At 43.9% G+C, this 14,447-nt stretch overlaps 1 protein-coding gene and 1 pseudogene across 2 annotated transcripts in view; both read left to right on the forward strand.

Annotated features, from left to right (window-relative positions):
• On the forward strand, positions 2,496-3,118 carry RPL12P19 (ribosomal protein L12 pseudogene 19; annotated as a pseudogene).
• The window catches only part of SLC3A1 (solute carrier family 3 member 1), a 46,958-nt gene continuing 39,953 nt past the window's right edge, over positions 7,443-14,447 (forward strand). For both annotated transcript variants that reach the window (XM_011533047.4, NM_000341.4), the window contains exons 1-3: positions 7,443-7,928; positions 12,679-12,858; positions 13,350-13,504. In XM_011533047.4, coding sequence (XP_011531349.1) covers positions 7,499-7,928; positions 12,679-12,858; positions 13,350-13,504 — 765 coding nt within the window. In that variant the 5' untranslated portion in view covers positions 7,443-7,498. The remainder of the gene's footprint in view (positions 7,929-12,678; positions 12,859-13,349; positions 13,505-14,447) is intronic.

Raw genomic sequence — 14,447 nt, forward strand, 5'->3', positions numbered from 1 at the left:
TGTGTCCCAATGAAGTTCTAACACACAGTGTTCTCAGATGACGGGCAGCATTTTGAAAGTAACATGTGACTGTGTAATTTATGCTCTTTGAATTTGCAGTGAGACTATTTGTGGCAGTACAATGTCTATCCATGCTCCTAATTAGAAGTTTTCCAGAACAGCTCATGTGTCTGAATTAGAAATATTTGTCACGGGGCATTAAATGCGGTATTTAGCTGTTAGGTGATTTTTTCAATAGAACTTTGTTAAAGACCAGATATAATGTGTCATTGTTTCTTTTGTGATTCTGGATTCTTTTTGAGAACTAAATGTTTAAGCAGTAAAGAGCTGAGACACCCTATGGGTAAGATCCTTTATAAATCAGCCCATTACACCGTGAATTCACTTACATTGTTGGTCAATGACGTCATGTAAGGATCAGATTATGCTTTTCTGTTTGGGTGTGTTTTGTGTTGATTTGTCAAGCCTGGAGGGTTGGCCACCAGGAAGAAGTTGAAATGGTCACTGAAATCCCCTGGCTGTGATTGTCACAAACTTGGGTCTGAGATACACAGAAACACTTGCCTGTCATCAGGCTGAAGCTTTCAGCTCAGACTGTACCAGTGCCTGTTGGAAACATAAATGAAAGCATTTTTACAAGTCATCAACAAAATATCCAATAGCCTAATAAAAAGATGGGCAAAAGACTCGAACAGACATTTCTCCAAAGATGATATCCTAATAGCCAATGAGGACACATGAAAAGATGCTCAACTTCCCCAATTTCATTAGAGAAATGCAAATCAAAACCACACTGAGCTATCACCTCACACTCATTGGGATGGCTACCATCAAAATACAAAACAAAACAAAACAAAAAACGGAAAATAACAAGTGTTGATGAGGATGTTGCAAAATTGAAGCCCCCGTGCACTGTTAGTGGGATTGTAAAATGGGGTAACTGCTATAGAAAACAGTATGAACAGTCCTCAAAAAATTAAAAATAGAACTACCATATGGCACAGCAATCTCACTTTTGAATATATATCCAAAAGAATTGAAAGCAGCATCTCAAAGAAATATTTGCACACTCATGTTCATAGCAGTGTTATTCACAATAGCCAAAAGATGGAAGCAAACCAAGTGTTTGACTGATAAACGGATAAACAAAATGTAGTATATACATACAATGGAATATTATCCAGCCTTAAAAAGGAAAGGCCAGACACAGTGGCTCATGCCTATGATTCTAGCACTTTGGGATGCCAAGGCAGGAGGACTGCCTGAGGCCAGGAGTTTGAGACCAGCCTGGGCAACATAGTGACAGCCCCCCATCTCTGCAAAAAACAAAAATTAGCTGGATGTGGTGGTGCATGCCTGTAGTCCCAGCTACTTAGGAGGCTGAGGCAGGAGGATGGCTTGAGCCCAGGAGTTCAAGACTACAGTGAGCTATGATTGTGCCACTGCACTCCAGCCTAGGCAACAGAGCAAGATCTTGTTTTTAAGAAAAAAATAAAAAGGAAAGAAATCCTGTCACATGCTACAACATGTATGAACCTTGAAGACATTGTGCTAAGTGAAATAAGCCAATCACAAAAGACAAATGCTATAGGATTGCACTTATATATCTACAGTCGTCAATTCATAGAAACAAAGTAGAATGTTGGTTACCCTGGGCTGAGGGGAGGCAAGGGGGAGTTGTTTAAAGGATATATACAGTTTCAGATTTGCAAGATGAAAAACTTCTGGAGATTGGTTTCACAGCAATGTGAATATACTTAACACACTGAACCATTTAATTAAAAATGATTAAGATGATAAATTTTATATGTTTCTACTACAATAAAAATTGCACAATAGATAATTGCATTAATAGCCCAATTTGTAGCCTCCTGTATTTATGTCCTTTGCCTTATAACTTCTTAGTCCCTTCACACACTGCCTCTGGGCTTGGCACATAAAGTACAGTCAAAAACAAGCTATGTAACTTCTGAGGCTAGGTCACAAAAAGGGTATTGTTTCTGCCTTGCCTGCTTTCTCAACTGGGACACTAACATTTGGTACCAAGCCAGCATGCTATGAAGACGCCCACAGTAGCCAACATGGAGACTACATTGAAGCAGTACAGGTATTGAGAACAGAGATGCCCCCAGCCCCACTCCCCACCCAGCTGGCTGCCAGCATCAGCTGCACCAAGGAAGATGTATGGATGGCAAATAAGCACATGAAAAGATACTCATCACCATTAGTCTTTACAGAAGTACAAATTAAAACCACAATGAGACACTGCTACTTACCTACTAGAATCACTGAAATTAAACAGACAACAGAGCAAGTGCTGGCAAGAATGTGGAAGAATTCACACTCTCATACACCAATGAAGGCAACCCAAAATGGTACTGTCACCGGTAGAGGGACGTGACTGCAAATTGTCCAGGTTCTTGGCGTTTTGAACAAAGAATTGGACAAAACACGCAGCAAAGAAAGAATGAAGCAACAAAAGAACGAAAGCAGCTCTCTCGGCTTTCGGCTCGGAGGAGGCCAAGGTGCAACTTTCTTCGGTCGTCTCGAATCCGGGTTCATCCGACACCAGCCGCCTCCACCATGCCGCCGAAGTTCCACCCCAATGAGATCAAAGTCGTATACTTCACGTGCACTGGAGTTGAAGTCGGTGCCACTTCTGCTCTGGCCCCCAAGATTGGCCCCGCGGGTCTGTCTCCAAAAGAGGTTGGTGATGACATTGCCAAGGTAACGGGTGACTGGAAGGGCCTGAGGATTACAGTGAAACTGACCATTCAGAACAGACAGGCCCAGATTGAAGTGGTACCTTCTGCCTCCGCCCTGATCATCAAAAGGAACTACCAAGAGACAGAAAGAAACAGAAAAACATTAAACACAGGGGGAATATCACTTTTTATGAGATCGTCAACATTGCTCGACAGATGCAGCACTGATCCTTAGCCAGAGAACTCTCTGGAACCATTAAAGAGATCCTGGGGACTGCCCAGTCTGTGGGCTGTAATGTTGATGGCCGCCACCCTCAGGACATCATAGATGACATCTACAGTGGTGCTGTGGAATGACCAGCCAGTTAAGCACAAAGGAAAATATTTCAATAAAGGATCATTTGACAACTGGTTAAAAAAGAACGAAAGCAGGGATTTATTGAAAATGAAAGTACACTCCACAGTGCGAGAGCGTGCTGAGCAGTGGCTCAAGGGCCCCGGATACAGAATCTTCTTGGGTCCAAATACCCTCTAGAAGTTTCCCATTGGCTACTTCATGCCCACCTCAGGTAAATGAAGTGGTAGCCCACAATCAGTCTGATTGATTGCAGAAAGCAGCCAACCAGAGGATGACGTGGTTACAAAAGTGACACTCCTGTGCAAACGTATGATTGGTTGCAGAAAGCAACCAATCAGAGGCTAGGGTGAAGTTACAAATTTATACTTCTATGCAAACGAAGACTCCGCCCGCAATCAGTCTGATTGGTTGTGGACAGCAACCAACCATTCGGAGGCTGGAGTGAAGTTACAAAGTTGCAAAGGAAGACTCAACCCGCAATCAGTCTGATTGGTTGCCAATTTCCCATGCCTGGCAGAAAAGGTGGGGGGTTTGCAAAGGGAGTAGCCTCTGGTCCTTTTGTGATTTAGGCATGTAAAGTTAGGGTTTTCCTTTCAGTTTAGTTCTAGGAATGCTGCGTGAAACAGCCTTAGGTTCCCTGCCTCCAATCCCTATATTCTCCTGCCTCAATACAACTACTTTCCAAAACAGTTTGGCAGTTTCTTAAACATTAATTATACACTTACCATATTATCCAGCTATTTCACTGCTAGTTGGTTCCTAAGAGAGAAGGAAGCTATATCCTTAGAAAGAGTTGTACATGATTGCTCGTAGCAATTTTATTTATAATAGCCAAAAACAAACGAAAAAAATCCCACATGCCCACTTATAAACTGTGGTGTATATTCTTTTTTTGTTTTGAACCTCACTCTGTCACCTAGGCTGGAGTGCAGTGGGGTGATCACAGCTCACTGCAGTCTTGGCCTCCTGGGCTCAAGCAATCCTGCCTTAGCCTCCTGAGTAGCTGGGATTACAGGCGCACGCCACCCCGCCCAGCTAATTTTGTATTTTTGAGTAGAGACAGGGTTTCCTCATGTTTGTCAGGCTTGTCCTCAACTCCTGACCTCAGGTGATCTGCCCGCCTTGGCCTCCAAAAGTGCTGGGATTACAGGCCTGAGCCACGGCGCCTGGCCAGGAGCAGAGGTTTAATAGGCGGAAGAAGGAGAAAGACAAAGGAAAATAGCTCTCTCTCTAGTGAGAAAGAAGGGACTTCCAAGAGGAAAAGGTCAGCTGGTGGATACGCCAGATTTTATAGTCCAGCTTGAGGAGGCCGTGTCTGATTTAGGTAGGGCTCACAGGTTTTTTGGGTCAGGTGTGACGTTTACATAGCACACAGGGAAGGCTGGTGGCCCCACTCTAATCTTATTATGCAAATGAACTCTCCACTTGGCCGGTGCCATCTTGTCTGCTCCTTACTGTACACGTGGCTGGCAGAGAAGGGGAGGTGCAGCCGCCATTTTGAACATGTCTAGTCCCAGGTAGTTCTTTCCTGTCGCATCCACCTGTGCAAGCTCCCGGCTTGCTTGTCTATGTCTGCAGCTTGACTTTACTGGCTGCTCTTTGTTAGAAAATGATTTGGGGCATGGCATGGTGGCTCACGCCTATAATCCCAGCACTTTGGGAGGCCGAGTCAGGTGGATCACCTGAGGTCAGGAGTCGGAGAGCAGTCTGGCCAACTTAGTGAAACCCTGTCTCTACTGAAAATACAAAAAATTAGCTGGGTGTGTTGGCGGGCACCTGTAATCCCAGCTGCACAGCAGGCTGAGGCAGGAGAATCGGTTGAACCCGGGAGGTGGAGGTTGTGGGTGAGCTGAGATCACGCCATTGCACTCCAGCCTGGGCAATAAGAGTGAAACTCCATCTCAAAAAATAAAAATAAAAAATATTCAATGGGCATAATTAATAATAATGAGAGGTATCACTGGGTGCATTCAATGAGCCAAGTATTGGGATTTACTCAGTTTTAAATGTAATTTGTCCAAGATCAAGTAGCTCATTCCTCCATACCTCTATACTATACAATGCTTCTAAGCCACTCCACAAAGAGACACTAAGATTAGGGCCCCAGATAACTATCATCATTTAAAAGAAAAAAAAGTCTCATTATCAGATCAAACGATTCATAGGACTGTATGTGCTCCTGATGAAAGGGACATCATAAATCATTACATTCCTTTTTGTTGTTGTTGAGACAGAATCTTGCTCTGTCACCCAGGCTGGAGTGCAGTGGCGTGATCTCAGCTCACTGCAACCTCTGTCTCCTCGGCTCATCTCAGCTCACTGCAACCTCTGCCTCCTGGGCTCAAGTGATCCTCCCACATCAGCCTGCCTCCTGAGTAATTGGGACTACATGGGTGCACCACCATGTTCAGCTAATTTTAAATTTCTTTTGTAGAGATGAGGTGTTACTATATTGTCCAGGCTGGTCTCCAACTCCTGGGCTTAAGCTATCTTCCCACTTTCTCTATTTAACCATGTATAAGAAAAATAATTTCCCCCCAAAGTCATTTTTCTTATACCTGGCTAAATAGAGAAAGCTTTAAGCTTTAAAAAAAGTTGTGGTAAAACATCTGTAACATTTCAGTGGCATTACGTATGTTTATACTGTTATGCAACCATCACCACTATCATCTCAGGAATACTTTTCATCATCCCAAACTGAAATTCTCTGCCCAATGAACAATAACTCCCCATTATTCCCTTCCTCCAACCTCCAGTAACCACGTTTCTATTTTCTGTTCCTATGAATCCTACTACTCAAGATACCTCATCTAAGTGAAATCACACTTGCCCTTTTGGGTCTGGCTTATTGCACTTAGCATAATGTCCTCCAGGTTCATCTATGTTGCAGCATGTGTCAGAATTTCAGTCCTTTATTTATGTATTGGAGACAGTCTCACTCCATCACCCAAGCTGGAGTGCAGTGGTGCTATCTCAGCTCATTGCAACTTCTGCCTCCTGGGTTCAAGCGATTCTCCTGCCTCAGCCTCCCAAGTAGCTGGAATTACAGCATATGTCCCCATGCCCAGCTATTTTTTTTTTTTTTTTTTTTGAGATGGAGTTTCACTCTTGTTGCCCAGGCTGGACCGCAATGGCGTGATCTCCATTCACCGCAACCTCCGCCTTCCAGGTTCAACCGATTCTCCTGCCTCAGCCTCCCAAGTAGCTGGGACTACAGGCATGCGCCACCACACCTGGCTAATTTTGTATTTTTAGTAGAGACGGGGTTTCTCCATGTTGGTCAGGCTGGTCTTGAACTCCCAACCTCAGGTGATTCACTGGCCTCGGCCTCCTAAAGTATTGAGATTACAGGCGTGAGCCACCGCGCCTGGCCTAATTTTTGTATTTTTAATAGAGATGGGTTTTGCCATGTTGGCCAGGCTGGTCTCCAATTCCTGACCTCAAGTGATCCACCCGCCTTGTCCTCCCAAAGTGTTGGGATTACAGGCGTGATCCACCATGCCCAGCCTTCATTCCTTTTCAAAGCTGAATAATATTTCACTATATGTATAACCACATTGTTTATCTATCCATCTGATGATAGCTACCTGGGTTGTTTCCAATTTTTAATTTTTTAATTTATTTTTAGTTTCATTTTATTTTTATTTTCTTTCTTATTTATTTATTTTATTTTTTGAGACAGAGTCTCCCTCTGTCACCCAGGGTGGAGTGCCATGGCTCGATGTCAGCTCACTGCAACCTCTGCCTCCTGGGTTCAAGTGATTCTCCTGCCTCAGCCTCCTGAGTAGCTGGGATTACAGGCATGCACCACCACGCCCGGCTAATTTTTGTATTTTTAGTAGAGACGGGGTTTCACCATGTTGGCCAGGCTGGTCTTAAACTCTTGACCTCGGGTGACCTGCCTGCCTCAGCCTCCCAAACTGCTGGGATTACAGGTGTGAGCCAAGATGCCCAGTGGAGATTTTTTTTTTTTTTGTGGGATGGATTCTCGCTCTTGTCGCCCAGGCTGGAGTGCAGTGGTACGATCTCGGCTCACTGCAACGTCTGTCTTCCGGGGTCAAACGATTCTCCTGCCTCAGCCTCCCGAGCAGCTGGGATTACAGGTGCACACCACCACGCCTGGCTAATTTTTATACCTTTAGTAGAGACGGGGTTTGGCCATGTTGGCCAGGCTAGTCTCAAACTCCTGCCCTTGGTGATCTGCCCGCCTCGGCCTCCCAAAGTGCTGGGATTACAGGCATGAACCACCGCGCCAGTCCCGAGATTTTTTTTTTAAACCTCTGTACTTTTACCCTTTCTTCCTTGGCTGGACTTTGTCCAGCTAGGTTTATTTATAAACCACACAAAGTTCATTAACAAGACCAAGCATTCAGCAAGCCACTCTTCCACCTCCCTTACTGCAGGAAGGCACTCCGAAGACATAAGTCGGTGAGACATGGCTGAAGATAAAAGCAAGAGAGACTCCATCGAGATGAGTATGAAGGGATGCCAGACAAACAACGGGTTTGTCCATAATGAAGACATTCTGGAGCAGACCCCGGATCCAGGAAGCTCAACAGACAACCTGAAGCACAGCACCAGGGGCATCCTTGGCTCCCAGGAGCCCGACTTCAAGGGCGTCCAGCCCTATGCGGGGATGCCCAAGGAGGTGCTGTTCCAGTTCTCTGGCCAGGCCCGCTACCGCATACCTCGGGAGATCCTCTTCTGGCTCACAGTGGCTTCTGTGCTGGTGCTCATCGCGGCCACCATAGCCATCATTGCCCTCTCTCCAAAGTGCCTAGACTGGTGGCAGGAGGGGCCCATGTACCAGATCTACCCAAGGTCTTTCAAGGACAGTAACAAGGATGGGAACGGAGATCTGAAAGGTACATGCCCAGAGATCATTTAGGGTGGGTGCCAGGATGAGATTGGTTTATGGTTCTTTTGTTCTTCAGAACCAAATTATGCCTGGGTTGTTCAGTAAGCACATTCCATTATGACTGGTCATGCCAAGTTGCTCCTTGTTTATGATATTCTTAGAAAATCACTCAGCAGAACCCAGCAGTTATTTTACTAGCTGAAGGGCTATTTGCTGAAGGCCTTTGAGCCAAACGAGTTGTTTAATTTATTGCCCACTAAGTACATACAGTTGTTCAGTCATCAATTCTAACTTCTTAGAGCAGCCTTCCTTCTAAAATCTATGTCCTGTTTCTGGGGACTTTATAGTTGAATATGTCAGGGTGGCAGTTGGGAATTGCTTTCCCAGTATACGAAGCAGCTAGTTTGGCTGTGTGGCTGGGAGTGTATTAGTGAATAAAGCATAAATAATATTTTTTTAAAAATCAAGTGATATCTGTAAAAAGTATAGGCTGAGTCTTAAAGTTTAAATTCTAAAAAAGGAAGGGAAGTAGAAAAGGGGTAGCAGTATGCATTCGTCATTACTTGAATTAAGGATTGTTTAAAACCATGTCCGTATTAGTATAAAACAAGTAAAGAATTAACCAGGGGTAGTGGCGCATGACTGTAGTTGCAGCTACTTGGGAGGCTGAGGTGGGAGGATCGCTTGAGCCCAGGAGCTCTCAGCCAGCCAGCTTAGGCAACATAGGGAGACCCCGTCTCCAAAAAGAAAAAAAAAAAAGTGAAAAATTATTTTTTAAAAGCTAAGTTAATTTCTTGGTGGGTTATGTGTAAAACATCCTTACAATATATTGCTCAAACCAGAACATACTTCAGAGTAAAATTATGCCAGATGGCAGGCATACACTGGGAACTTCTGAGCAAATTGGTTGGTATGGTCACTCTACTTCAAGGCAACAATAGGAAACAAATAAGGAAACTAACAAACTAATGTTTTACAATGATAATTGGTTTGAAGAAAACAAAACAGGATGATATGAATGTGGAAAGTAGGAATGGGCTTAATGTATCTTTAAAATGCTACAAATGAATTCTTGAAACCTGCAGCTTTCTTTAATCACTAGTAGAAGGCTTTTCTTTTTCACGCTCCTATCATTCTCTCTCTTCTTTTTTTTTTTTTTTTTTTTTGTGATGGAGTTTCACTCTTGTTGCCCAGGCTGGAGTGCAATGGCATAATCTCAGCTCACTGCAACCTCCGTCACCTGGGTTCAAGCAATTCTCTCGGCTCAGCGTTCCGAGTAGCAGGGATTACAGGCATGCACCATCATGCCTGGCTAATTTTGTATTTTTAATAGAGACGAGGGTTCTCCATGTTGGTCAGGCTAGTCTCGAACTCCTGACCTCAGGTGATTTGCCCCCCCTTGGCCTCCCAAAACTCTGGGATTACAGGCATGAGCCACCGCATCCGGCTGTATCATTCTCGTTTTAAAAATCATCCTGCATTGTCACTCATTGAAGAAGAGTGTATCTGTCCTTCATGGTGCAGCTCAAACCCATTGCCTTCATTACTCTTTCTTTAGCCTCCCTAATCAGACCATGGGCTCCCCACCCCAGATCTTCGGCTTTGGATGTGTTTCTAGCATCCTTTAATCCTGCCTTGAGTGACTCCCTTTCCCCTGACTCATGACCTATGACCTGCTGCCTTTTGCACATTGAGTGCTTAGGAAAAGCAATGCTCTGACTGCATAGACCTAAAGCCCTAAATCCAGAGATATGTTTACCACTTCCTGGCCCTGCCTTCTTAATAATCTCCTTCTGGATAGGTCCAACATTCCTGTAAACATGGTGGTTTCTAATCAGCTCTGATGTTTGTCATTTCCAATACCTGTTCTTGGAGGAATGTTTTACTTCCTGCAATCCATAGGCATTTGTCTTTGAGGTTGAAGGGATTTCATTGTTGTTATTATGAAGATCCCATTCCAGCTTTGAGTCTGGTTTTGGTGATTGCCCTCTCTCCTTCTAAAATGTGGGGTGGGATCCCTTGTTTACTTTCTCCAGCCACTTTGTTTTCATCCTCATGTTCCTTTGTGCCTCATCATAAGATATATTTTGTTGCTGTGCTGGCTTAGATCAAAACCCTCTTGCTGCCTGTTGATACCGTGTGAGATCTTGCAGCTACCCATATGGGGGAACTGGGGTACAGAGACAGAAATAAGCAGCCTGTCAGGCCAGGCGTGGTGGCTCACGCCTGTAATCCCAGCACTTTGGGAGGCCGAGGCAGGTGGATCACGAGGTCAGGAGATTGAGACCATCCTGGCTAACACGGTGAAACCCCGTCTCTACTAAAAAAATACAAAAAAAATCAGCTGGGCGTGGTGGCGGGTGCCTGTATTCCCAGCTATTTGGGTGGCTGAGGCAGGAGAATGGCGTGAACCCAGGAGGCGGAGGTTGCAGTGAGCTAAGATCGCACCACTGCACTCCAGCCTGGGCGACAGAGCGAGACTCCATCTCAAAAATAAATAAATAAATAAATAAATAAAATAAAATAAAATAAATAAGCAGTGTGTTATAGGGGAAAAGCCCAGATCCCAGGTGTCGAATGACTCTGTGCTTTGGAATTAGTGACCTTCAGCCTGCGGTGTGGCCTCTGACAGTCTAATTCTAGGAAGTCACATCAGGATTACACAGAAAGTTACTGGAGATTGAATTCTAGACTCAAGTTGCTGAATATGCATTTGGGACTCTGAACTAGAAGGAGAAAACACATTATCTGCTCATTATCCTACAAAGTTCTAAATACAAAGTTTCATTTCCACATGTCTTCTCAGCCAAGCCTAGAATTCTCTTCTGTATAAATTCCTGGGTTCCTATATAAGTGAACAAGGGAAATAGTCCAAATTTAGCAAGTTCAAAGGCAGTCTGAGAGTGGAAACAAAGACTCCTCAAATATTGGCACAAACTTACCTTCTGTGTTGAGGTTGCACTCCTTCTCAGACCCCGTGCACTGACAACATTTATCACCTTTTTAAATTAATTGATGCATTTACTTATTTATTTATATTTATTATTTTTTTTTTTTTGAGATGGAGTCTCACTCTGTCACCTAGGCTGGAGTGCAGTGGCACAATCTCACCTCACTACAACCTCCGCCTCCCAGGTTCAAGCAATTCTCCTGCCTCAGCCTCCCGAGTAGCTGGGATTACAGGAATGCACCATCGTCCCCAGCTAATTTTTGTATTTTTTAGTAGAAATGGGGTTTCACCATGTTGGCCAGGCTGGTCTTGACCTCCTGACCTCAAGTGATCCACCTGTCTCAGCCTCCCTAAGTGTTGGGATTACAGGCGTAAGCCACTGTGTCCTGCCTTCTCACCCTTTTTTAGACATGCCCTGTCTATTCTTGCTCCCTCCTTTCCTTTGCTGTGCCTGGAAGCCCTTCACTCTGATCCCCTTTGCCCACACCATCCTGGACCTTCTCTGTCCTTACCCTCAGGGGTCATCAGCTTCCTCTGCCCCTGGGGGTCAAGGGCCAATGCCCTGATGCCCTTAAAGCACTTTCTGCAGCTCTTCCTTAGCTCTTCAGTCTGATCATCATCCCACCCCTGCCTGCAGACACTTCCGAGACCAACACCGCCCAAAAGAAATACAATGGGAGCCACATAAGAAATTGTAAATTTTGTAGTAGCCACATTAAAAAAAGGAAAAAAGAAGCAGGTGAAATTAATTTTCATATGTTCTGTTTAATCCAATGTATCATTTCAACACATAATCAGTATAAAAATATATACATATTGTTATTTTTTTTTGTATTTTAAGACGGGGTTTTATCATGTTACCCAGACTGGTCTCGAACACCTGAGCCCAAACAATCTGCCCACCATGGCCTCCCAAAGTGCTGGGATTACAGGCACGTGCCACCATGCCCGGCCCAGTATAAAAATATTAATGAGATTTTTACATTCTTTCTTTTTGTACAGGGTCTTCAAAATCCAATACATGTTGTTCCCTTACAGCACATCTCAATTCCAACCAGCCACCCTGCAAGTGCTCAGTAGCCACATGTGGCTCTTAGACAGAACAGTGCAGTGTAGACCACATGACCGACAGGGGCCATGCGTTACTCTGCTCTGTTCCTTGACACTTAGCCCAGCAGCTGGCATAGATTAGCTGCTCAAAAACCATGTGTAGAATAAATGAACAATACCACAGTCTTGGTTTTAAATATAAAATATGAGTAAGTCACAGAGATTTTTTTTAATGCTATGTTAAATGTCATCGATTACTGATAGATGACTAATTTGATTTTCTCTTTCTTTTTTTTTTGAGAAAGGGTCTTGCTCTGTCGCCCAGGCTAGAGTACAGTGGTGTGATCTTGAGTCATTGTAGCCTCCGATTCCCAGGTTCAAGAGATTCTCCTGCCTCAGCCTCCCAGGTAGCTGGGATCATAGGCATGTGGTACTGTACCCAGCTAATTTTTGTATTTTTAATAGAGACGGGGTTTTGTCATGTTGGCCAGGATGGTCTCGAGCTCTTGACCTTAGGTATCCTCCCACCTTGGCCTCCCAAAGTGCTGGGATTACAGGCGTGAACCACTACACCCGACCTAATTTGATATTTTTTGTAGAGCTAGATCTTCCTATTTGAATTATACTCAAATTCAACAAAATTCTAAGTATTTTTGCCTTCATGTAAATATTTCTATCTTAGGCATATTTGTTATATTTTTTGTCCTTTAACTAAAACAAAGTAGGGTTTATTCATGACTTTGACTTTTTTCTTCAGGTATTCAAGATAAACTGGACTACATCACAGCTTTAAATATAAAAACTGTTTGGATTACTTCATTTTATAAATCGTCCCTTAAAGATTTCAGATATGGTGTTGAAGATTTCCGGGAAGTTGATCCCATTTTTGGAACGATGGAAGATTTTGAGAATCTGGTTGCAGCCATACATGATAAAGGTAAGTTGAATGGAAAGTGGGCAAGATGGGGATGAGGTTTGAGAGAAGCACTTTTTCAAATGTTTACTTAAAGCATTTCTTCTCCTTAACTGTCATATACTATTTCTTTCCCTCCCTCCCTCCCTTCCTTCTTTCTTTCCTTCCCGCTTTCTCTTTCTTCCTTTCCTTCCCTTCCCTTCTGTTTCCTTTTTTCCTTTCTCCTTTCCTTTTTCCTTCCCTATCTCCTTTCTTCCCCTCCCCTCCCCTCCCCTCTCCTTTCCCTGCTTTTTTTTTTTTTTTTCCAGGCAGGGTCTTGCTCTGTCTCCCAGGCTGGAGTGCAGTGGTGCAATCATGGCTCACTTCAGCCTCCACCTCCTGGGCTCAAGCAATCCTCCTACCTTAGCCTCCCAGTGTATTGGGGTTACAGGCGTTAGCCATTACTGTGCCTGGCCTGTCATATGTTATTCTAATACAATCTTTCCCTAGCATTTGAAATGTCTTTTACTCATTAGGTTTAAAATTAATCATCGATTTCATACCAAACCACACGAGTGATAAACATATTTGGTTTCAATTGAGTCGGACACGGACAGGAAAATATACTGATTATTATATCTGGCATGACTGTACCCATGAAAATGGCAAAACCATTCCACCCAACAACTGGGTAAGTATCAACCTGTCTGACTTACAAAGGGGTAAAAGGCAGATATGTAGTGATTGAACTGATTTAGTAAAACCCTTTTGAGGGAAAAATGAATGAATATAGTTTATCGGAAGGGGGCAAGTTTCTGAAAGAAATAGAAATAAGGTTTCCAGTTGTTATTTACTCAGGCTTCCAATTATTATTTAGATTTCTGATTTCATCATAGAGATGATGTGTTCTAGCAAATTCAAACCTATTTTCTCTCCTTCCACCCTTCCTTCACTTCCTACCCGGTCCAACTTGGATTCCATGTCCCATTAGTTTGATAACCATTTTTCTACTATCCATACCCCTTTGCATTTTTTTTTCTTGAGATGTAGTTTTGCTCTTGTCTCCCAGGCTGGAGTGCAATAGCACAATCTCAGCTCACTGCAAACTCCACCTGGGTTCAAGCAATTCTCTTGCCTCAGCCTTACCAGTAGCTATGATTACAGGCGCGCGTCATCATACTCGGCTAATTTTTGTATTTTTAGTAGAGGTAGGGTTTCACCATGTTGGCCACTCTGGTCTTGAACTCCTGACCTCAGGTGATCCACCTGCCTCGGCCTCCCAAAGCGCTGGGATTACAGGTGTAAGCCACCGCTCCTGGCCCCCTTTGCCTTTCTGACTTTTTGTCTCCTCTGTCTGACAAAACCCTAGCCATGAATGAACCCAATTATCTATTTTCTTTTTGCCTAAACCTTAGTAGTTGAGTCTCTGGAGACATCACACCTTCATTGTCCCCACCTGAACTGAGCCATCCACTCTTCTTGGGAATTTTGCTAATTTCAACCGATCAACTTTCCCTCCCTCCCTCATTTCAAACATCGTATCTGCCTCTACCCCATCTTATCACTCTCAGCAGCAAACTCGACTTCACAGAGAAAACAGAAGCCATCAAGCCTGCCTGCCCCATTCCCACCCT

The sequence above is a fragment of the Homo sapiens genome, chromosome 2, assembly GCF_000001405.40.
Source record: "Homo sapiens chromosome 2, GRCh38.p14 Primary Assembly".
Taxonomy (NCBI): Eukaryota; Metazoa; Chordata; class Mammalia; order Primates; family Hominidae; genus Homo; species Homo sapiens.